Source organism: Homo sapiens, chromosome 4 (assembly GCF_000001405.40).
Source record: "Homo sapiens chromosome 4, GRCh38.p14 Primary Assembly".
NCBI classification, from domain to species: domain Eukaryota; kingdom Metazoa; phylum Chordata; class Mammalia; order Primates; family Hominidae; genus Homo; species Homo sapiens.
Genome location: NC_000004.12, coordinates 186,384,273 through 186,409,036, shown reverse-complemented (window position 1 = coordinate 186,409,036; position 24,764 = coordinate 186,384,273). Strand labels below are relative to the sequence as shown.

At 39.9% G+C, this 24,764-nt stretch overlaps 1 long non-coding RNA gene across 1 annotated transcript in view, besides 1 other annotated feature; it reads left to right on the top strand.

The window, feature by feature from the left end:
• F11-AS1 (F11 antisense RNA 1) overlaps positions 1–24,764 on the top strand; it is a 214,961-nt gene that overhangs the window by 92,022 nt on the left and 98,175 nt on the right. The window lies entirely within an intron of this gene.
• Positions 2,380–2,880: an enhancer, noted in NCBI's record as "H3K4me1 hESC enhancer chr4:187327311-187327811 (GRCh37/hg19 assembly coordinates)". NCBI's record gives its function as "activates a minimal SCP1, AML or CMV promoter by ChIP-STARR-seq in primed H9 embryonic stem cells {active_cell/tissue: H9 hESC(primed)}" and the evidence as "EXISTENCE:reporter gene assay evidence [ECO:0000049][PMID:30033119]".

Sequence of the window (24,764 nt, the reverse complement as noted above, 5' to 3'; positions counted from 1 at the left end):
TACCCAATATGGGAGTCAGACACTAATCTTTTGCACCTCCCGACTGTGGAGAACACATTTCAGAGCTCTCTGGTGTTCACGTGGAAGATTCTCTTCACTAGCCTTGAGATGAAGAAGGCGACTCCTGGCAAAGAAATATATTTCCAAACATTTCTGTTCTCTCCATATCCTGGGTTTTTTGTTTGTTTGTTTTTGTGGTTTTTTGAGATGAAATTTCGCTCTTGTCGCCCAGGCTGGAGTGCAATGGTGCGATCTTGGCTCACTGCAACCTCCGCCTCCCTGGTTCAAGTGATTCTCCTGCCTCGGCCTCCCAAGTAGCTGAGATTATAGGCACCTGCCACCACGCCTGGCTAATTTTTGTATTTTTAGTAGAGATGGGGTTTCACCATGTTGGCCAGCCTGGTGTCGAACTCCTGTATCCTGGTCATTTTTATATCTCGAATCTGGCTGAGAGGTCCCTGTTTTTCACAATTTCGTTTTGGAATTGGCACATGGAGGTCTGCCTCAAACCCACTTTGGTATCTGATATCTATCACGTGGACAATTCAATGGAAATAAGGCGGAGACAGTCCTGTCTTCACACAGTGTTGGAAAAAAAAATGAATAAATTGCTGTTGAGTGAAGAAGCTAGAAGCTGAGAATAAAAGCAGACAGATTTCAGTCTCATCTTGACTTACAGAGGTGACTTCTCCAATCTTAATCTTAGACCAGATGCCTCTGTCCCCCAAAGCTTATTTCTGTGCCTTGTTTACAGTCCTCTGGGTTTAACTTTTCTTAATTCTTACAACTTCCCCTCCCATGCTCATTCTGCTCATTCACTGCCCTGGCCATTTTCCAGAATGGATCTGCTGAGCACCCACTCAGAGGCTGGCATTTGTCTAGGTTCTGGTCATACATCAGTCAACAGAAGGGAGTCTTTGCCCTCAGAAGGCTTGCATTATAGGTAGAGAGAAAGACAGTAAACAAGTAAGCCAAAACACGTTTGTTATAATGTCAGGCAGCAACAAGTGCTATATAGGAAAATAAATGTATCTCCGTGGCTAGAAGTGGATGGAGATGGGCAAGTGCTGGATGAATTAGAATGGTGAAGAAGGACTTGCTGACAAGGTGATACTGGGCGGCCACATGAAGGGTTGAGAGGGCCAGCCATGAGTAGCTGAGAAAGAGTGCCAGGCGGAGGTAAAAGCAAGTGCAAAATCCCTGTGGCAGGACAGAGCTCGACATGATCCAGGAAAAACCGGAGGTCCCTGTAGCTGAAGCAGACTTAGCAGTAGGCTACATGGTAGGTAAAGGCCAGAGCCTGTAGGGCCTTACATGCCACACCATGGATTTTGATCTCATTCTGTGCTGGAAGGGATGTCATTGAATGGCTGGCTTTGAGCACAAGTGTGGCCTACCCTCCCCGCCATATTTATCGGGCTGGTCAAAGAATGTGCAGAGCCTGACACCACTTCCTCAGTGGGGGGCAGCCCTGTGTCCTTCCCTTTCCCCCACACACAGACCACCTGGGCCCGACCTTAGATTCCCCTTTCCACCTTCCCCTTATCCAGCATATTTCATCTACTACAGCAGATTTATTATCTGGAAATTAACAAGCCTTTCACAGATGTCCCATCTCTTTGGGTATTTTTCTTCTTTAACTGGGCTTTCAAGACATGCCACTGAAAAGTTTCTAACTGCCTCATCCACTCCACCTCGTTCCTTCCTTCACACTAGTATTGATGGCTACTCACAGCTGCACAGACAATCCCTCAGCCCCGCTGTGGGTGCACCTTCACTGATGCCGTGATTACATGCATGCACACACATGTGCATAGCTCGCCTTTCCTTACACGTGTTTGAGACTTACTTTCTCACCAAGTCATAAGTGTCTTCAGTAGAGCAGTCCTGTCTGCAAATGGCCCTATTCAGGAAGGAATAGTAACAACTAAGCTGTGGGTGAAAACGACACTATTTTTAATTCTTTCATATTGAAAAAATGATCTAGGGTTAGTTTTACCTGGTGTCTGACAGATGGTGAATGTAAGGCCCTAGCTAACAGAATAATGAGAGGAATGGAGCACATGGGATTCTGATGACTTTAGGCTTTGTGTGGTAGCCAAGGGAAATCATTCAAATAAGCATATTTCTTTTCTTTTTTTTTTTTTTTGAGAGACGAAATCTCACTCTGTTGCCCAGGCTGGAGTGCAGTGGTGTGATCTTGGCTCACTGCAACCTCGGCCTCCCGGGTTCAAACAATTCTCCTGCCTCAGCCTTCAGAGTAGCTGGGACTACAGGCGTCTGCCACCACACCCAGCTAATTTCTGTATTTTTAGTAGAAACGGGGTTTCACCATGTTGGCCAGTCTGGTCTTGAACTCCTGACCTCAGGTAATCTGCCCACCTTGGCCTCCCAAAGTGCTGGGATTACAGGCACGAGCCATCGTGCCCGGCCAAATAAGCATATTTCTAAATGTATATTTTCATTTGCTGACTTAACTAACAGACAGTAATAACCAATTTCAGGATTGACCATATACATCTATTTCTCTGTATGTTACACTGACAATCCAAAAAAAGACAAGGCTTCCAGAAAGAGGCCACCCTTAGAGTGAGCTGAGAAGGAATAGGCCATAAACGGGGCAAGGGTAACAGTGTGTGTGTGTGAGAGTGTGGGTGTGAGTGTGTGACTGTGGGCATGAGTGTGTGTGTGAGTGTGGGCGTGTGTGTGTGAGCATGTGGGGGTGTGTGTGCGAGCATGTGGGGTGTGTGTGCACGTGTGTGCGTGAGCTTGTGTGGGTGTGAGTGTGTGGGCGTGTGTGCACATGGGTGTGCGTGGGTGTGTGTGGGGGGGCATGAGTGTGTGCGTGTAGGTGTGTGCATGTGGGCATAAGTGTGTGCATGTGGGTGTGAGTGTGTATGTGGGCATGACTGTGTGCCTGTGGGTGTGAGTGTGGGTGTGTGTGCACGCGTGTGGGTGTGAGTGCATGTGTGTGTGCGTGTGAGTGGGTGTGAGTGTGCGTGTGGGCATGAGTGTGTGGGTGTGAATGAGTATGGGTGTGTGAGACTGTGTGCACGTGTGTGTGTAACATAGGTGGAGGAAGTGACACGTGTAAACGTAGAGAGATGTGAGAATATGTGGGGATGCATGAGTGGTCTGGTCTGAGTGGTGATAGTGCTGTGTGCACCCAGAGCTGGGGGACAGATGAGGCCTGGCTGAAAAGACCTTGAGACCGTGCTCAGGAGTTTGACTGTCATTCTCAAGGCCATCCAAGGAAGGATTTCAGCAGGGGAATAACACAGTTAGATCTAAATGTGAAAAATATTATGCTAAGTAACTAGAAAAAAAATTGATAGCAAAATGAGCTTATTAAATAGGAAATTTATAACTAAATATTCTGAAGCTATGTTTTCCGTACTAGTACATAATGAAAACAGAACAGTTTTCTCCAAATGGAAATCACAAAATGTTTTTTTTCCTACCTTAAATCTCTTGGACACAGACAATGAGATAGTTGAAATAGTTGAACCATGTGATTTTCCACCAGCGTTTTGAAAGATGGATAACACAAAGATATTAAAAAACGCAATAAAAGAGCAAAAATTGTCTTTGCAATTAGATTTTGTTTATAATAACTTGGTTTCTGTGATTGGTAAGGGCCATCTGTCTGGGATAACCACTCAATTTAAGTAAGTGAAAACACAGTCTTGAGAGATACAGATCAAATCAGCAGCAGAAAACAATTCTTAAGGAGATCGTATGTCTCAGCGTGGGCCGTTTATACGTGTGCAGCATTGAATCATTACATAACTGCCACAAGAACAAACTTTTCATATAGTTAATGAATATCTTAGTAGGCTTGTGAGAAATATGATGTAAAAAAAATTGGAAAAATAATACTAGAATAAAGTGAAAGATAAAAACACCTGCATGGGGACTATATGAATAAAAGAAACAAATGTCACTCATTCAGCTGGTTATTGATCAGGCAATATATGCCAGGCATCTTCCTCTGCACTGAGGGTACAAGATGAATGAGATACTGCCCTGTCCTCAAGAAGTCCAGTATGATGAGGGGAAATAGAAAGAAATACGGTGCGTAACATGAGAACAGAGAGGAATGGAGAGAATGCGAAAAGGAGGGAGTGTCTAGGGTGGAAAAGGGCTTTGTTGAGAAGGTGAAATGTGAATGAATCTTGAAGACCAAATACCAAGTTAATAATTGGATAAGCAAAGAAAAGAAAACCCAGGCCGAGGAAGCAATGTGTACAGAGGCATGGAGGAATGAAAGAACTTGGCATTCAGAACAGGGTCAAAGTGTCAAAGGCTGGAGCACAGGACACAGCACAAGTTAGGACTGGTCAGAGAGATTGGAGACATACTGCAGAGTCACGAATTCACACACATCACACAAAGACATTTGGGTTTCATCATTTAGGCCCATGCCTAATGGTCTAACAGGACCACGTCTTTCCTCATACTTAGAATGGTACAAGAAACCACATATACATGCAACGCATCCTCCTGGAGCATGATTTTACTTATGGCTAAAGCATTACTTAAAACAGCGATTTTTTTTTCTTAGGAAAAAGAGATGGAATAGATTGAAAAATTCACATTAATCTTTAAACTGAATCATGTTACTTAAGTTAGACTTTTATCTTTGAAGTATTGGGCTGCCTTTGGCTCTAACCCTAACCCTGTCAGAACTACATGCTTCATCTCCTCTACTACTGGAAGAACTTTCAAAAATATTGGGAAGCAATGTTACATCATGAGTTGTATGGAAATGCCTGGATATCCAGGCAGAAGTTGGTTGCAGGGGCTGGGCTAGCATGTCTCATGGAGAACCTCTGCTAGGGCAGTGCAGAGAGGAAATGTGGGGTTGGAGTTGACACAAAGAGTCCCTACTGGGTCACTGCCTAGTGGAGCTGTGAGAAGAGGGCCACCGTCCTCCAGACCCCAGAATGGTAGATCCACCGACAACTTGTACTGTGGGCCTGGAAAAGCCGCAGACGCTCAACGCCAGCCCATGAAGGCAGCCAGGGGAGAGGCTGTACCCTGCAGAGCCACAGGGGCGTAGCTGCCCAACACCATGGGAACCCACCTCTTGCATCAGCATGACCTGGATGTGAGACATGGAGTCAAAGGAGATCATTTTGGAGCTTTAAGATCTGACTGCCCCACTGGATTTCTGACTTGCATGAGGCCTGTAGCCCCTTTGTTTTGGCCAATTTCTCCCATTTGGAATGGCTGTATTTATCCAATGTATGTACCCCCATTGTATCTAGGAAGTAACTGACTTGCTTTTGATTTTACAGACTCATAAGTGGAAGTGGCTTGCCTTGAATCAGATGAGATCTTGGACTGTGGATTATTGAGTTAATGCTGAAATCAGTTAAGACTTTGAGGGACTATTGGGAAGGCATGATTGGTTTTGAAATGTGAGGACATGAGATTTGGGAGGGGCCAGGGCGGAATGATATGGTTTGTCTGTGTCCCCACCCAAATCTCATCTTGAATTGTAACTCCCACAATTCCAATGTGTCATGGGAGGAACCTGGTGGGAGGTAATTGAATCATGGGGGTGGGTCTTTCCTGTGCTGTTCTAATGATAGTGAATAAGTCTTGCAAGATCCGATAGTTTTAAAAAATGGGAGTTTTCCTGCACAAGCTCTCTCTTTGCCTGCTGCCATCCATGTAAGACGTGACTTGTTCCTCCTTGCCTTCTGCCATGATTGTGAGGCCTCCCCAGCCACATGGAACTGTAAGTCCAATAAATTTCTTTCTTTTGTAAATTGCCCAGTCTCAGATATGTCTTTATTAGCAGCATGAAAACAGACTAATACACTAATCATCAGAAAAATGCAAATCAAAACTACAGTGGATATCATCTTCCTTCAGTCCAAATGGCTATGATAAAAAAGACAAAAATAACAGATGCTGGTGAGGATGTGGAGAAAAGGAAATTCTTACACACTGTTGGTGGGAATGTAAACTAGTACAGCTGCTATGGAAAACAGTATGGAGATTTCCCCAAAAAACTAAAAACAGAACTACCATTTGATTAAGCAATTCCACTACTGGGTATCCACCCAAAGGAAAAGAAATCAGTATTTCAGGCCGGGCATGGTGGCTTATGCCTGTAATCCCAGCACTTTGGGAGGCCGAGGTGGGCAGCTCATGAGGTCAGGAGATCGAGACCATCCTGGCTAACACAGTGAAACCCCGTCTCTACTAAAAATACAAAAAATTAGCTGGGCATGGTGGCAGGCACCTGTAGTCCCAGCCACTCAGGAGGCTGAGGCAGGAGAATGGCGTGAACCTGGGAGGCGGAGCTTGCAGTGAGCTGAGATCTCGCCACTGCACTCTAGCCTGGGTGACAGAGGGAGACTCCGTCTCAAAAAACAAAACAAAACAAAAAAAATCAGTATTTCAAAGGGATACCAGCATTGCATATTTATTGCAACTCCATTCACAATAGCAAAGATATGGAATCAACCTAAGTAGCTGTCAGTGGATGATTGGATTAAGAAAATGTGGTATGGCCAGGCACAGTGGCTCACGCCTTAATCCCAGCACTTTGGGAGGCCAAGGCGGGCAGATCACCTGAGGTTGGGAGTTCGAGACCAGCCTGACCAACATGGAGAAACCCCGTCTCTCCTAAAAACACAAAATTAGCTGGGCGTGGTGGCAGGCGCCTGTAATCCCAGCTACTTGGGAGGCTGGGGCAGGAGAATCGCTTGAACCCAGGAGGTGGAGGTTGCAGTGAGCCGAGATTGTGCCACTGCACTCCAGCCTGGGTGACAGAGCGAGACTCCATCTCAAAAAAAGAAAGAAAGAAAGAAAATGTACATACACACACTGAAATACTATTTGACCATAGAAAAAGAATGAAATCATGTGTTCTGCAGCAACATGCATGAAACCTAAGGTCATTAAGTGAAATAAGTCAGGCACAGAAAGACAAATATCATGTGTTCACACTTACATGTGAGAGCTAAAAAATTGGAACACGTGAAAGTGGAGAGTGGAAAAATAGGTAACAGACTGGGAGAGTAGGGCAGGGGGAAGGGGGAGGATAAAGGGAAGTGGTTAGAGGCACAAACGTATAATTAGATAGAAGAAAATAAATTCCACGTGTGATAGCAGAGTAGGGGGACTATAAGTTAACAAAGATGTATTGTCCTTGGGTGATGGGCACCCTGAATACCCTGAATTGATCACTATGCGTTATATACATGTCACAAGTTTTCTCATATATACTATAAATTTGCATGAGAAAAAATAAAAATAAAGCTCTAAGGATTTAAATGAGGGTGGAGTTGGGTAAGGATCTCCAGATAAAACTATCCCAGGCAAAGAACCATAGAGTAATGCCATTTATCCCCATTTTGCTACTATCTTCCAGGATTTTCTGCAGGCAGAACATGGATACTTTGTATGCATATGGGGCATGCAATACCGGGTTACATACAGAGGCCTTAACCACTGGCCCTCTCCTCCCTTTACTTCCTCAAGTTCAGTAATCACATAACAGAAGTAGGGGTGGATGCCGATACTTGAATCCGACAGACCTTATTCATTCAATTCTCATAATGGTCGATGGCTAAGATGTGTCATAGAAGGATGCCAAAACTCGGGCAACTTCCCGCCCACTCTTTTTACTTGTCCATTTCCAAACCTCTTGTGTCCTTATTGTCAGCACCTAGGGTGACGTTAGTCCTGGCATGTGATAAGTAGTGGAGTGGCTTGAGTTGAGTCTATTCTGGCAAGTCCCGGGAATGTCTCATGTCCAGGGTCCCTTTGAAGTTTCTCACCTGCACTTTGAATTCTGAGACAGTAAAGGCAAACTCTTTTTTTTTTTTTTTTTTTTTTTTTTTGCTCATACTCCCTTTTGTGTGCTGTGGAGCTGCCACACTGATCACTTATTAAGGGGAGTGTTGTTTGAATCAGAACAACTAAGCTGTACTTCAGTAATAATAATTTTCAAAAATCCTCCAGATCTCAACAGTTTAACAAAATAAACTCATAAGATGGTCTCATTTAGGTCCTCCTTAGGTTTTTCCCTGGCAACTTTCCAGAAAGCGATGACTCCAGGCTGCTTTCATTTCCTGGAGCTGCTGTTCTAATCCCATGGCCTTCCACGCAGACAAGGAAGAAAAACTGTGGGCAGCGATGCAGAAGTTTTGTGGCAGGCTATTAAGTCATGGCCATCACTCCTGCCACTATCTTCTTGGCCAGAATTCAGTCACATCCAGAGGGCGGGGACAGAATAGTCTAAGTCCCAGGCCTATGAGAGAACATCATAGAATTGGTTCACACAGAGCCTCACCTCTGCCACCGGATTTCTGAATGTCCTTATCTCGGCTGGCTACTCTCAGGAAGCCTGTGTGAAAATGTACATAACTTCTGTTTCCAAAGTCTGTGAAGCTACTCTTAGGCCTTCTCCCATTGTGTGTGCTCCTCATTTACCCCAGGCCCAGGTCCCAGAGCCCAGCTTCCTCACTGACACTTCCTCTCACTGGTTTCACGTTAAAAGGAGGCTGGAGGCCAGGCCTCTCCAGGTAGCATATAGACATTACCTGTTCTCATATTTCCAGTCCCACTGTAACTATTGTAGCTAGTGAAAATGTCTCTGCATAAGGTCAGAAGGATAAAATAAATATGTATACTTATTTTTATGGGTTTACTGGAAGCATCAGCATGCTGAAATGCTGTTAGCTAGCTCTTCACATGCTCAAGTAGTTACTTGAAAACTTTCGAGTCACTAGATAATTGTTCCCATTGAGAATGTGACCTCAAATATTGGTGCAGAAATGGCTCCTGTCTCCAGCACTTCACATACCCAGTCTGACAGTTCTCCTTGACTTGCTTCCTGGGAGAGGGAGGTGGTATCTGAATTCTGAACACTTTAGAGAACAAAAGATAAAAGCTACTCTCAGGGTAGGTGACCTCACGGCCTCAAGACTCTACCCTTAACCCTCAGGAGAAAAGTATTTTCTGTGCCTCAAAGTTATCATCTTAAGTGAAACCAAGACAACTTTTGACACCTTAAATACTAGAGCAGGGAAATACGCAGGGACACACAGACATCTCTGTCCATATATTTTTGATTGTACACATTTATTAATAAGAATGTTTGAGTCTGTATCTTTGACATATACATATTTATTTACTTGTGGGGATTTTACAGTATTACTCTACTAATGTATTATTTATTATCTAAAACATGCAAAAATAAAAATTTGAAAAGTATGAAATGAAGGTGAAATTATATTTTTAAAATATTTGTTATCAAATAATAGCAAATACTTTTTGCTTTCACAAAAATATGATCAATAATTTAGAAAGAACAGTATGTTAGAAAATACCTTATTTAAAAAAATCTTGGCTTAATATTCTGCACACAGCAATGTAAAGAATTAGACCTACGTTCACTTTATTTGATAAAATCATTACTCAATTTTAGTAGTTTTTGTACCTGAGAAAGATCATTTATGAAGAGCTTTAACAAAAAGAAATCAAAACTGGTTCCTTAACGACAAAAACCACATGATTATCTCAATAGATGCAGAAAAGGCCTTTGACAAAATTCAACAACCCTTCATGCTAAAAACTCTCAATAAATTAGGTATTGATGGGATGTATCTCAAAATAATAAGAGCTATCTATGACAAACCCACAGCCAATATCATACTGAATGGGCAAAAACTGGAAGCATTCCCTTTGAAAACTGGCACAACACAGGGATGCCCTCTCTCACCACTCCTATTCAACATAGTGTTGGAAGTTCTGGCCAGGGCAATCAGGCAGGAGAAAGAAAGAAAGGGTATTCAATTAGGAAAAGAGGAAGTCAAATTGTCCCTGTTTGCAGATGACATGACTGTATATCTAGAAAACCCTATTGTTTCAGCCCCAAATCTCCTTAAGCTGATAAGCAACTTCAGCAAAGTCTCAGGATACAAAATCAATGTGCAAAAATCACAAGCATTCTTATACACCAATAACAGACAAACAGAGAGCCAAATCATGAGTGAACTCCCATTCACAATTGCTTCAAAGAGAATAAAATACCTAGGAATCCAACTTACAAGGGATGTGAAGGACTTCTTCAAGGAGAACTACAAACCACTGCTCAATGAAATAACAGGATACAAACAAATGGAAGAACATTCCATGCTCATGGGTAGGAAGAATCAATATCGTGAAAATGGCCATACTGCCCAAGGTAATTTATAGATTCAATGCCATCCCCATCAAGCTACCAATGACTTTCTTCACAGAATTGGAAAAACTACTTTAAAGTTCATATGGAACCAAAAAAAGCCCACATTGCCAAGTCAATCCTAAGCCAAAAGAACAAAGCTGGAGGCATCACACTACCTGACTTCAAACTATACTACAAGGCTACAGTAACCAAAACAGCATGGTACTGGTACCAAAACAGAGATATAGACCAAATGGAACAGAACAGAGCCCTCAGAAATAATGCCACATATCTACAACTATCTGATCTTTGACAAACCTGACAAAAACAAGAAATGGGGAAAGGATTCCCTATTTAATAAATGGTGCTGGGAAAACTGGCTAGCCATATGTAGAAAGCTGAAACTGGATCCCTTCCTTACACCTTATACTAAAATTAATTCAAGATGGATTAAAGATTTAAATGTTAGACCTAAAACCATAAAAACCCTAGAAGAAAACCTAGGGAATATCATTCAGGACATAGGCATGGACAAGGACTTCATGTCTAAAACACCAAAAGCAATGGCAACAAAAGCCAAAATTGACAAATGGGATCTAATTAAACTAAAGAGCTTCTGCATAGCAAAAGAAACTACCATCAGAGTGAACAGGCAACCTACAGAATGGGAGAAAATTTTTGCAATCTACTCATCTGACAAAGGGCTAATATCCAGAATCTACAATAAACTCAAACAAATTTACAAGAAAAAAACAAACAACCCCATCAACAAGTGGGCGAAGGACATGAACAGACACTTCTCAAAAGAAGACATTTATGCAGCCAAAAGACACATGAAAAAATGCTCATCATCACTGGCCATCAGAGAAATGCAAATCAAAACCACAATGAGATACCATCTCACACCAGTTAGAATGGCGATCATTAAAAAGTCAGGAAACAACAGGTACTGGAGAGGATGTGGAGAAATAGGAACACTTTTACACTGTTGGTGGGACTGTAAACTAGTTCAACCATTGTGGAAGACAGTGTGGCAATTCCTCAGGGATCTAGAACTAGAAATACCATTTGACCCAGCCATGCCATTACTGGGTATATACCCAAAGGATTATAAATCATGCTGCTATAAAGACATACACACGTATGTTTATTATGGCACCATTCACAATAGCAAAGACTTGGAACCAACCCAAATGTGCAAAAATGATAGACTGGATTAAGAAAATGTGGCACATATACCCCATGGAATACTATGCAGCCATAAAAAATGATGAATTCATGTCCTTTGTAGGGACATGGATGAAGCTGGAAACCATCATTCTCAGCAAACTATCACAAAGACAAAAAACCAAACACTGCATGTTCTCACTCATAGGTGGGAATTGAACAATGAGAACACTTGGACACAGAGTGGGGAACACTACACACTGGGGCCTGTTGTGGGGTGGGGGGAAGGGGGAGGGATAGCATTAGGAGATATACCTAATGTTAAATGACGAGTTAATGGGTGCAGTACACCAACATGGCACATGTATATATATGTAACAAACCTGCACGTTGTGCACATGTACCCTAAAACTTAAAGTATAATAAAAAAATTAACTTGAAAACAAAACAAAACAAAACTGGTTCCTTTTAAAAACGCTGACATTCATTTTGCAATTCCATTCAATAATTGGGAGAGGATTTTAGAAATTTTCAGTTTTGCCTGATGTTAATCAATTCTTCTTGCAGACTATAAGGCAGCTGATGTATTTTTGACAAATGATTTTAAAATCTACTTAAGACTTTCATTTGACAGATTTTAAAACAAGTTTCTAAATTATGTTTTCAACTTTTAAGGAGAAGATAAAAGAGTATCTATAGGTGACTCACATTGTTTCCAACGCACTCAAATTACATTATAAAAACACATTCATTCAAAATATCCTCTATGTAACACATGCTTTAAAAAAGACTTCTATGTTATTCAGCCATAAAATGGAGTACCATTCTGATACATGCTACAACATGGAAGAATCTTAAAAACATTACACTAAGTGAAATAAGTCAGGCAAAATGACAAACGTTGAATCATTCTGCTTATATGAAGTCCCTAGAGTAGTCAAATACATAGAGACAGAAAGAATGGTGATTACCAGGGGAGGCAGTAAACGGGAGTGGACAGTTATTATTTAGTGGGGAGAAATTTAGTATGGGATAATACAAGGTGTTCAGTGGATGGTAGTGATGGTCGCACAGCAGTGTCAATGCACTCAGTGCCACTCAACTGTAAGCTTAACAATTGTAAATTTTGCATATGTTTCACGACAATAAAAAAAGTTACATTTTCATTTATTCTTAAGCGGTTACACTTGTCTAAAAGGTACAGATTAAGTGTGTGTGTGTGTGTAAATATCCCTAAGTTCTAAGTTAATGGCTCTCAAAGTACCCTACGTGGATCAGCAGCATAGACCTCACATGGGAAACTGTAATAAATGCAAACTCTTGGCCACACTCCAGACCTACTCAATCAGAAACTGCAGGGGTAGGGCCCAGCAATCTGTATCTTGCAAGCTGTCCAGGTGCTTCTGATGCACACTTTGAGTTTGAGAACGTTACGCTAGGCAGCATGCTACTGGCTACTTGTCCTCATAGAAGAAGACAGCAAATTTGGAACACTTGTCTTTTTATACAAGAAAAATTCTCTTTTAAATATACTTGCCTCAAGATAAATAGGGAGCCTTTTGTATTAAAGTATTTTATGGTTCCATATAATAATTCTCATGTATTTTGAATACATTCATGTTTAATAAAGCTAACCACGTTAATGATATCTTACATAAAGTATAACAATTTAATATCTTCTGGCTTCAACCTATGTAATGCATTCATTGGCCTTTGAATGAAGCAATCAACGGATTTCACGTTTTACCCTCTCTCCCTCATTACAAAGAATCCTCGTTTTATTTCAGCCAAAGCAGCTACAGCATTAATGGTTTATATTTTAACAGTAGTTACAGAAACCTAAATAAACAGAGAAATTCCATGTTCATGGATAGGAAGACTCAATATTTTTAACATGTCAACTATTTCTAAGTCAATCTATGCATTACATGAAATACAAAGAAAAATCCCATTAAGGTTTTGTCTAAGTTGTGTAAATTGAGTACTAATTCTTATGTAAATTGAGTACTGATTCTAAAATTTGCATGGAAATATAAAAGACCTAGAATAGGCATGATAATCTTGAAAAATAAGATCAAAGTTGATGGAATTACATTACTATATTTCAAGATTTATTATAAAGTTTCAGTAATTAAAACAATATGGTATTGGTGCAAAAATAACGAAACAATTGAAACAGAACAGGGGGTCTAGAAATACACCCCTCCATAAGTAAAGTCATTTAGTTTACAACAAAGTTGCCAATGCAATTTAATAAGGGAAAATGGTATTTTCACTAAATAGTGCAGGAGCAATTGAATATTCGTAAAGCAAAAAATGAACCTTAGTCTTTAATCCCCTACCTCTTGCCATTCACAAAAAACAATTTAAGATATGAAAAGAAGAATGATATGAAAAGAAGAACAATAACACTTCTAGGAAAAATACATAAACTTTTTTCATGATATAGTGTAGGCAGAAAATTTTTAAAATAGGACCAAGAAATACATCAACCATAAAAGAAAAACAAGTGTAATGTTAGGTATAGCTTTAAATGTCTATGGGAGCATAGTTTGGTACAACATCCTTTAAAAATGTATGGCAGTATCTACTAAAGCACGTCTATTCTGCAGTTATATGCTCAAGAGAAATGGCAATGTGTGCCACAGCCAGTGGCAGCATCATTTGTAATAGCCAAGAACTGGAAACGACCAAAATTTTCAAGAGAACAAATACTACACAGCTGTAAAATAATAAGTGATCGCTGTTACAGAAACATGGATGAATATCATAGATAAGTTGAGCAAAAGAAGCCCCCAAAAAAGAGTACATGGTGTATGATTCCATGAAGTTAAAGAACAGGCAAAATTAATCTATGTGATACAAGTCAGAACGCTGGTCTTCTCTGCGGGGAGGGTTTGGTCTATGCTGAGAAGTAGGAAGGATCCATATGAGGTGTTGTAGGCATTTGTCATGGGTTGAATTGTGTCCTGCTAAAAAGATATGTCAATTCCTAACCCCCAGTGCCTCAGAATGGGACCTTATATTTACAGAACTAATCAAGTTAAAACGTTATCACTAGGGTGGGCCCTGATCCAGTATGACTGCTGTTTTGATAAAAATGAGAAAGTTGGACACAGACAGACATGCAAAGAGAGAAGACTGTGTGAAGAGAGACAGGAGAAGTCCACGTGACGATGAAGGGCGAGATTGGGGTGACAAATCTCTGAGCTGTGGAGAGCCAAAGACTCTCAACAACCACCGGAAGCTGGGAGAGGCATGGAACAGATTCTCCCTCTGAGCCTCAGAAGGAACCAACCCTGCCAACATCTTGATCCTGGACTTCCAGCCTCCAGAACTGTGAGGCATAAGTTTCTGTTGCTTACACCCCTAGCGTGTGGTGCTTTATGTCAGCTCTAGGATCTAATACAGTGTTCAATATTTTGACCTGGGTGCTAGCAATATGGAAATGTATATATGTATAGTGCATATGTAAAAATTTATTGACCCATTCAATTAAGATACGTGTACTTCTCTACATGCATGCTACAATATCATTTTAAATATTAAGCTTCATGTGTGTGCTCTGTTTTCTTCCCTATAGGATATAATGGGTGGCACTGAAATCATTTCTACAAATTCATAGCAGGTTGTGATCTTCAATTTTTAAAATCATCCCAACATTTTCTTTTCATAGCCCTGTTAGTAATACTCTCTAGATTTAAACCATCTGTACCTTGATGCTTATGACTGTAACTTATTACTCGTAATTGCTTTTCTGAACAGAACTTTAAAAAAGTTTGTTTTGGCCACTCAGGGAGGTGAAAACACACGTGAGAAGGCCAGGGAATTGATTTAGAAGGAATAAATCTAACAAAAGAGAAGTAACACTTCTGGGGCCTTATCACACTCATTCTCTTCACAGTAGTGAAGTGGAAAGGCACTTCATCAATAGTCTAATTTACAAAGTCAAGGTCTGATATTGTTTGATTTTTTTTTAATAATTAAAAACTTGCTTTCAGAAGCACATTATGCCGTGAGGAATTAGATATTTAGAAAATACAGTCTTTTGCAACCGGCTTTCTTTCTTTTTCTAAGTCTTATCTGTCTAGCAATATGATAGTGTGAAACCATTGTCTAATTCATGTTTAAAGGAGCTGGTTATTTCCTTAAGATTAGCAAATTCATTTAAAGTTATTGGATTTTGTTTTTCATTTATGCAAATGAAATATGATCTTAAGCAGAAATAAGTACAATTGAAATTAACATGATTACAATAGGGTAACATAAGAAAGAAAATTTCTCTATTAATTTTTTTTCATAATCATCAGGCCAGGTTTAAGTAATTTTTCCACCAAAAAGTTCCTCACAATTTATCCAAAAAGATGAATTAGTGGCAGTCAATTTGAAGTTTTTATTTTAAATTAAATATGACAATTGTGATGGGGAAGTTTCTGAAGTTTCTTCCTGATTCTTTTAATGTGTTGAATTTCTTGACCACTGTATTTTAATATTTTCAATCCACTAATTTTTTTATTCCCCACAATTGTGAATATGTCATGTGCCCACAGCTCAACCCTTAGGGGGGGTTCTTCTTTTTCTGCTGAGCATAATGATAAACTCACAGTAAGAAACTGTATATAACGTTCAGATCTTCACATGGTCTATCATAGGAGCCTGGTGAAAAGGGACATATATTCCAATTATCAGCTAAATAAGAATGCAACCACTGTGGGCTACTGAGAGTTTCCCTCTTAGATTAGTAGTTTAGCCATTCTTTATAGAAGTCCAGTTCCCTCGGCAAATTACTAGAATGGCACTGCAGTGATGTGAATATAAGGAAGGTTCCATCCACTCTTGTAGGCAATGGCATAGATAGACAATTTTTTTTTTTTTTTTTTTTTTTTTTTTTTTTTTTTGCCTTGATAAGCCTCTGGGTTTCTGGATTATAAGCAAAATGGAGTTTAGAAGTTGCTGAGAAGGGGGAGCTCCCAGGAACCCTCTGGGATTTCTCTTCCAGTTTTCCTTTGGGGTTCCAATGATTAGATCATGGCTGATGGTTATGGGGAGAGGCTGTTTCTGGCACAGTGGCCTGCCGAGGCTGGATCCCTCCTCAACTCACCATCCTGGCTTCGCAGGCAGGTCTTCACAGCGATAGCACAGGCCTGCTTTGATGTGGAGCATCCGAGGTGAGTAAAATATTGGGGAGTGAAGCCTCCTTTAAGGTTTGGGTTGCTATCATTTGCTCCAGCTCTCATAAAGTATAGGGCCTTGCCACAAACGCTTGAGCTTTGTGCTTGGGACAGTGACAACCCAGGAGATGTTTCAAACTGCCAGTCATGACGTTTCTCCCAGAACAGCTTCGCTGCTCTCTTTTCCGCACTCTGATTAAAAGCCTCAGGGCAAGGCAGGCCTGGACAAATAACCCACACCACTAGCCTGCTTCAAGCACACAGGCCCTTCTCGGGCAAATCACAGCATCGCTGCACATTCCGGACGATCCTCCTATTGCCCTTGGAGGCCAGTACCTGCTCTTGCTGACCTGCTCTCCATGCCGCAGCTGCAGCTGTGTTGTCCGGGTCACTTCCAAGATGCTGCTGCTGCTGCTGCTGCTGCAGGACAGGGCTGCAGAGGCTCCCCTTTCTTCTGCAGCCTCTTCTGAGTTCGGGCCCTGAGCCCATTGCTTTGATCCCGCCACAAAGGCCACACTTCTGCTAGGCTCATTTCCAAGCTTGCATGCTGCCAGCATGGCGGGGTTGAGTCCAGTTCCTCAACAGCCACGATCGCTGCTGTCTGAAGTCTGGCGACTCCCGCAGAGTCACTGTCACACTTGTTTTTCCACTGGGTTGAAGACACTTCTGGGCCACACAGGACTTCCTTGTAATTGGCCTTTTGTTTCTCCACTCCCAGCCCTTCTTTATAAGACTTGCTTGTATATCTGAACCCCAATCTTGTACCTACCACGAATTCTTTTCTCAGAAGCCTTCTGAACCCTTATAAAAATAAATGGATTTAAGCACCAGGATGGGAGTGATCAGGTCATTTTAGCAGGAAGACATAGCTGAACCCCAGCTCCCACTCATGGTGCTCCAGGAGTTTTTGTTTTTTAGATTAGAATAGCCAACCACATAATTTTCATTCACAAAACAAAGTGCACGTACTGCAGGGTTCTTGAAGTGATCAGAATCACAAACAAAAATGTCATAACCGGGACCACATTAGACATGGATCTGTTTCTTTAGACTGAAGTTGTATTTTAATGGAATCATCTTTTTAAAGATAAAGTGATACTTCATTGATTTGTTTAATCACATGCTCTGTTTTGAAACAATGAGGATGACAGCAAGTAATGTTCTACACTGCATTCATTCCCTCTCTAATAAGTTACACTGTTTCATTCTTTGACATAATAGAAAATAACAGGATAGATTAGTGCATGTATTTGTTACTGCCCTTAAGATAAAACTGAAAAGTCCTTAGTGTAGCTTGTAAGGGTCTGGCCTCAGCTCATCTTTCCAGCTTGATTTTCTACCTCTTTCTCTTTGCTGTATGTACTAAACGGGATTCCATTCAGCTCTCTAAACACTCCACGATTTCCTTAACTCCTAGCTTTTGGTTTATGCTCTTTCCTTTGCCTGGAATGTTCTTATCCATCTCCATCTTCACCTGACAAAGTCTTACTTATTCTAGTCTTAGCTGAAATGTCACCTCATCAAAAGGCCACCCATCGACCTGCAAGCCAGCAGCTGCAGCCAGGTTAAATTCCCCCCTAACAGGCTTCTCAGAGCAGCATTGAACTTGATCACTGCCATGTGATCAGCACTTACCATAGTCTCTGGCATGTGGTAGGTGCTCAGTAAGTAATTTCATGTAAGATTACATTTCATGTAATCAAAGTTTCTATAGCATAGTAGAAATATGGTTCCTTATTGCTAAAAAATGAAAAATGTTTATTAACCTATTTCAATTATATAGCACAAATAATCTTTGATCCCAAATGTCTCTGTCAATCAAAAATCTTATGGTTGAAAAAATATGCCTGTGATGTTTAATTTTATGTATAACTTGGCAAGGCTCAAGTGCCCACTTTGGTCAAACATCATTATAGATGTTGCTGTGAAGGTATTTTGTGAATGGGATTAACATTTACAATAAGTTGACTTGGTAAAAAGTGAAACAGGTTGCCCTCAATAATGTAGGTGGGCCTACTCTAATAAGCTGAAGACCCTAAGAGCAAAAACTGAAATTTCTGGGAGTAGAAGGAATTCTACCTCAAGATAGTAACATAGAAATCCTGCCTGAGTTTGCAGCTGGTCCGGCCTACCCTGCAGATCTCAGACACGAGACTGCAGCATCAACGCTTGCCTGTGTTTCCTGCTTTCCAGATGCCTAGCCACATAAACACACAAGGGTTAAATCCGAGTGAAGATTTACCCAAAATTATTTTTATTTTAATTATTTATTTTATAGTATTGTTATTATGTTTTTAGACACAGGATTTTGCTGTGTTGCCCAGGCTGGACTCCAAATCCTTCTTCAGCCTCTGGAGTAGCTGGGACTACAGCCATGTGCCACCATGCCTGGCCTCATAATTTTATTTTTTGAAAACTTTTATTTTAGAAAAAGGAGGAACATGGGCAGGTTTGTTACAAAGGTATCTTGCATTATGCTGAGGTTTGGGGTATGACTGAATCCATCACCCAGGTAGTGGACATCGTCCCCAGTAGGTAGTTTAGCCCTTACTCGCCTCCAGCCCCAGTAGCCTCCAGTGTCAATTGTTGCCATCCTTGTGTCCGTGTGGATTCAGTGTTTAGCTCCCACCTGTAAGTGGGAACATGCGGTATTTGCTTTCTGTTCCTGAGTTAGTTTGCTTAGGATAATGGCCTCCAGCTGCATCCATGATGCTGCAAAGGACATGATTTCCTCATTGTTATGGCTGCACAGCATTCTATGGTGGATATGCTCCACATTTTCCTTATCCAGTCCACTGTCGATAGGCACATAGGTTGATTTCGTGTTTTTGCCATTGTGAATAGCACTGTGATGAACACACATGTGTCCTTATGGTAGAATGATTGATTTTTCTTTGCATATACCCAGGAATGAGATGGCCAGGTCAAATGGTAGTTCAGCTGTTAGTTCTTTGAGAAATCTCCAAACTGCTCTCTACCAGTGGCTGGACTAATTTACACTCCCACCAACAGTGTATAAATGTATCCTTTTTTCTGCAGCCTTGCCAACGTCTGTTATTTTTTGAGTTTTTAACAAAAGCCATTCTGACTGGTGTGAGATGGTGTCTTACTGTGGTTTTGATTTGCATTTTTCTGATGATCAGTGATGTTCAGCATTTTTTCATGTTTGTTGGCTGCTTGTATGTCTTCTTTTGAGAAGTGTCTGTTCATGTCCTTTGCCCACTTTTTAATGGGGTTATTTGTTTTTTTTGGTTGTTGATTTACATTCCTTATAGATTTGGGATATTTGACCTTTGTCACATGCATAGTTTGCGAATATTTTCTCCCACAGGTTGTCTGTTTAATCACTTGATAGTTTCTCTTGCTATGCAGAAGCTCTTTAGTGTAATTAAGTCCCGATTATCAATTTTTGTTTTTGTTGGGATAGGTCTTCAAGGCTTAGCCATAAATTATTTGCCAAGGCCGATTTCAAGAAGGGTTTTTCCTGGATTTTTTTCTAGGATTTTTATAGCTTGAGGTCTAACATTTAAGTCTCTATTCCATCTTGAGTTAATGTTTCTATGTGCTGATAGGTAGGGCTCCAGTTTCAATCTTTTGCATATGGCTAGCCAGCTACCCCAACACTATTTATTGAATAGAGAGTCTTTTCCCCATTGCTTATTTTTGTCAAGTTTGTCAAAGATCAGACGGTTGTAGGTGTTTGGCTTTATTTCTGGATTCTCTGCTCTGTTCCAATGATCTACATGTCTTTTTTGTACTAGTATCACGCTTTTTTGGTTGCTGTAGGCTTGTAGTCTATTTTGAAGCTGGGTAATAAGATGTTTCTGGCTTTGTTCTTTTTGCTTAGGATCGCTTGTTTATTTGGGCTCTTTTTGGTTCCATATGAATTTTAGAATAGTTTTTTCTAATTCTGTGAAAAAATGATGTTGGTAGTTTGTTAGGAATAGTGTTTAATCTGTACATTGCTTTGGGCAGGATGGCCATTTTAATGATATTAATGATTCCAATCCATGAGCATGGAATATTTTTTCATTTGTGTCATCTCTGATTTTTTTCAGCAGTGTTTTGTAGTTCTCCTTGTACAGCTCTTTCACCTCCTTGGTTAGCTGTATCCCTAGGTATTTAATTTTTTATGCTACTATTGTAAATTGGATTGTGTTTTTCATTTGGCTCCCAGCTTGAATGTTATTGGTGAATAGAAATACTACTGATTTTTGCACACTGATTTTGTATCCTGAAACTTTACTGAAGTTGCTGATTGTTCCAGGAGCCTTTTGGCAGAGTATTTAGGATTTTCCAGGTATAGAATCATATCATCAGCAAAGAGAAATAGTTTGATTTCTTCCTTTCTGATGCCCTTCATTTCTTTCTCTTGCCTGATTGCTCTTGCTAGGACTTCCAGTACTGTGCCGAATAGGACTGGTGAGAGCAGGCATCCTTGTCTTGTTCTGGTTCTCAAGGGAAATGCTTCCAGCTTTTGCCCACTCAGTATGATGTTGGCTGTGGTTTTGTCACAGATGGTGCTTATTATTTTGAGGTACGTTCCTTCAATGCCTAGTCTGTTGAGGGTTTTTATCATGAAGGGATGTTGGATTTTATCAAAAGCTTTTTCTGCATCTATTGAGATGATTATATAGTTTTTGGTTTTACTTTTACTTCCTCCATGATTCTTTTAAAATAATAGCATCAGCCTAATCATATATCAATGTTATATATTTTGCTAAAATCATAGAAAGTGCAAGTAAATATATACCCTTTACTTTTATGATCTATTTATTTATATATATATATATATGGCTAAATATATATAGATAAAGAGGCAGATATATATATATATGCAGATATAGATATATACACTACACATACTTAAATATAAAGATCTCCTTTCTTTTTTTATATTTTTCCATAAGTTATTGGGGTACAGGTGGTATTTGGTTACATGGGTAAGTTCTTTAGTGATGATTTGTGAGATCCTGGTGCACCCATCACCTCAGCAGTATACACTGCACCATATTTGTAGGCTTTTATCCCTTACCCCCCTCCCTCTCTTCCCCCCAAGTCCCCAAAGTCCATTGTATCATTTTTATGCCTTTGCATCCTCATATCTTAGCTCCCACATATCAGTGAGAACACACAATGTTTGGTTTTCCATTCCTGAGTTACATCACTTAGAATAATAGTCTCCAATCTCATCCAGGTCACTGCAAATGCTGTTAATTCATTCCCTTTTATGGCTGCATAGTATTCCATCATATATATATATATACACATATATATATCTATCTCACAGTTTCTTTATCCAGTCATTGATCAATGGGCATTTGGGTTGGTTTCACGATTTTGCGATTGTGAATTGTGCCACTATAAACATGCATGTGCAAGTATCTTTTTCGTATAATGACTTCTTTTCCTTTGGGTAGATACCCAGTAGTGGAATTGCTGGATCCAATGGTAGTTCTACTTTTAGTTCTTTAAGGAATCTCCACACTGTTTTCCATAGTGGCTGTTTGCATTCCCACCAGCAGTGTAGAAGTGTTCCCTGTTAACTGCATCCACATCAACATCTACTGTTTTTTTATTTTTTGATTATGGCCATTCTTGCAGGAGTAAGGTGGTATCACATTGTGGTTTTGATTCGCATTTCCCTGATTATTAGTTGTTGAGCATTTTTTCCTATGTTCGTTGGCCATTCGTATATCTTCTTTTGAGAATTGTCTATTCATGTCCTTAGCCCACTTTTTGATGAGATTGTTTGTTTGTTTCTTACTGATTTGTTTGAGTTCATTGTAGATTCTGGATATTAGTTCTTTGTCAGATGTATAGACTATGAAGATTTTCTCCCACTCTGTGGGTTGTCTGTTTACTCTGCTGACTGTTCCTTTTGCCATACAAAAGCACCTTAGTTTAATTAGGTTCCAGCTATTTATCTTTGTTTTTATTGCATTTGCTTTTGGGTTCTTGGTCATGAAATCCTTGCCTAGGCCAACGTCTAGAAGGGTTTTTCCAATGTTATCTTCTAGAATTTTTACAGTTTCAGGTCTTAGGTTTAAGTCCTTAATCCATAATCCATCTTGAGTTGATTTTAGTGTAAAGTGAGAGATGAGGATCCAGTTTCTTTCTCCTACATGTGGCTAGCCAATTATGCCAGCACCATTTTTTGAAAAGGGTGTCCTTTCCCACTTTACGTTTTTGTTTGCTTTGTCAAAGATCAGTTGGCTGTAAGTATTTCAGTTTATTTCTGGGTTCTCTATTCTGTTCCATTAGTGTATGTGCCTATTTTTATACCACTACCATGCTGTTTTGTTGACTATGGCCTTATAGTATAGTTTGAAATCAGGTAGTGTGATGCCTCCAGATTTATTCTTTTTGCTTAGTCTTGCTTTGGCTATGTGGGCTCTTTTATGGTTCCATATGAATTTTGGAATTGTTTTTTCTAATTCTGTGAAGAATGATGGTGGTATTTGATGGGGGTTGCATTGAATTTGTAGGTTGCTTTTGGCAGTATGGTCATTTTCACAATATTGATTCTACCCATCCATGAACATGGGATGTGTTTCCATTTGTTTGTGTCATCTATGATTTCTTTCAGCAGTGTTTTGTAGTTTTCCTTGTAGATGTCTTTCAACTCCTTGGTTAGGTATATTCCTAAGTATTTTAACTTTTTTGCAGCTATTGTAAAAGGGGTTGAGTTCTTGATTTGATTCTCCACTTGGTCGCTGTTGGTGTATAGAAGAGCTACTGATTTGTGTACATTAATCTCCTATCTGGAAACTTTGCTGAATTCTTTTATCAGTTCTAGGAGCTTTCTGGAGGAGCCTTGAGGGTTTTTGAGGTCAATGATAAAGTCGTCAGCAAACAGTGACAGTTTGACTTCCTCTTTACCGATTTAGATGCCCTTTATTTCTTTCTCTTGTCTGACTGCTCTGGATAGGACTTCCAATACTGTGAGGAAGAGGAGTGGTGAGAGTGGGCATCCTTGTCTTGTTCCAGTTCTCAAAGGGAATGCTTTCAACTTTTCCCCATTCAGTATTATGTTGGCTGTGGGTTTGTTATAGATGGCTTCTATTACATTAAGGTATGTTCCTTGTATGCTGATTTTACTGAGAGTTTTTATCATAAATGTATGTTGGATTTTGTCAAATGCTTTTTTCTGCCTCTGTTGAGATGATTATGTGATTTTTGTTTTTAATTCTGTTTATGTAGTGTATCACATTTATTGACTTGTATATGTTAAACCATCCCTGCATCCCTGATATGAAACCTACCTGACCATGGTGGATTATTTTTTTTGATATGTTGTTGGATTTGGTTAGCTAGTATTTTGTTAAGGATTTTAGCATCTATGTTCATCAAAAATATTGGTCTGTAGTTTTCATTTTTGGTTATGTCCTTTCCTGGTTTTGCTATTAGGGTGATGCTGGTTTCATAGAATGAATTAGGGAGGGTTCCTTCTTTCTCTATCTCGTGGAATAGTGTCAAAAGGATTGGTATCAATTCTTCTTTGAATGTCTGGTAGAATTCTGCTGTGACTCTGGTCCTGGACCTTCTTCGTTGGTAATTTGTAAATTACCATTTCAATCTCACTGTTTGTTATTGATCTGTTTAGGTATCTAATATTCCTGATTTTAAGCTAGGAGGGTTGTATTCTTTTCCAGGAATTTATCCATCTCTTCTAGGTTTTCCAGTTTATGTATGTAAAGGTGTTCATAGTAGCCTTGAATGATCTTTTGTATTTCAGTGGTGTCAGTTGTAATATCTCCTGTTTCGTTTCTTAGTGAGGTTATTTAGATTTTTTCTCTTCTTTTCTTGGTTAATCTTTCTAAAGGTCTATCAATTTTATTTATCTTTTCAAAGAACCAGCTTCTTGTTTCATTTATCTTTTGTATTGTTTGTTGTTTGTTTCAGTTTCATTTAGTTCTGCTCTGATCTTGGTTACTTCCTTCCTTCTGCTGTGTTTGGGTTTAGCTTGCTCTTGTTTCTCTAGTTCCTTGAGGTGTGACCTGAGAGTGTCAGTTTGTGCTCTTTCAGTCTTTTTGATGTAGGTGTTTAGGGCTATGAACTTTCCTCTTAGCACCACCTTTGCTGTATGCCAAAGGTTTTGATAAGTTGTGTCATTGTTGTTTGGTTCAAACGATTTTTTAATTTCCATGTCAATTTCATTTTTGATCCAATGCTCATTCAGGAGCAGGTTATTTAATTTTCAGGTATTTGCATGGTTTTGAAGGTTCCTATTAGAG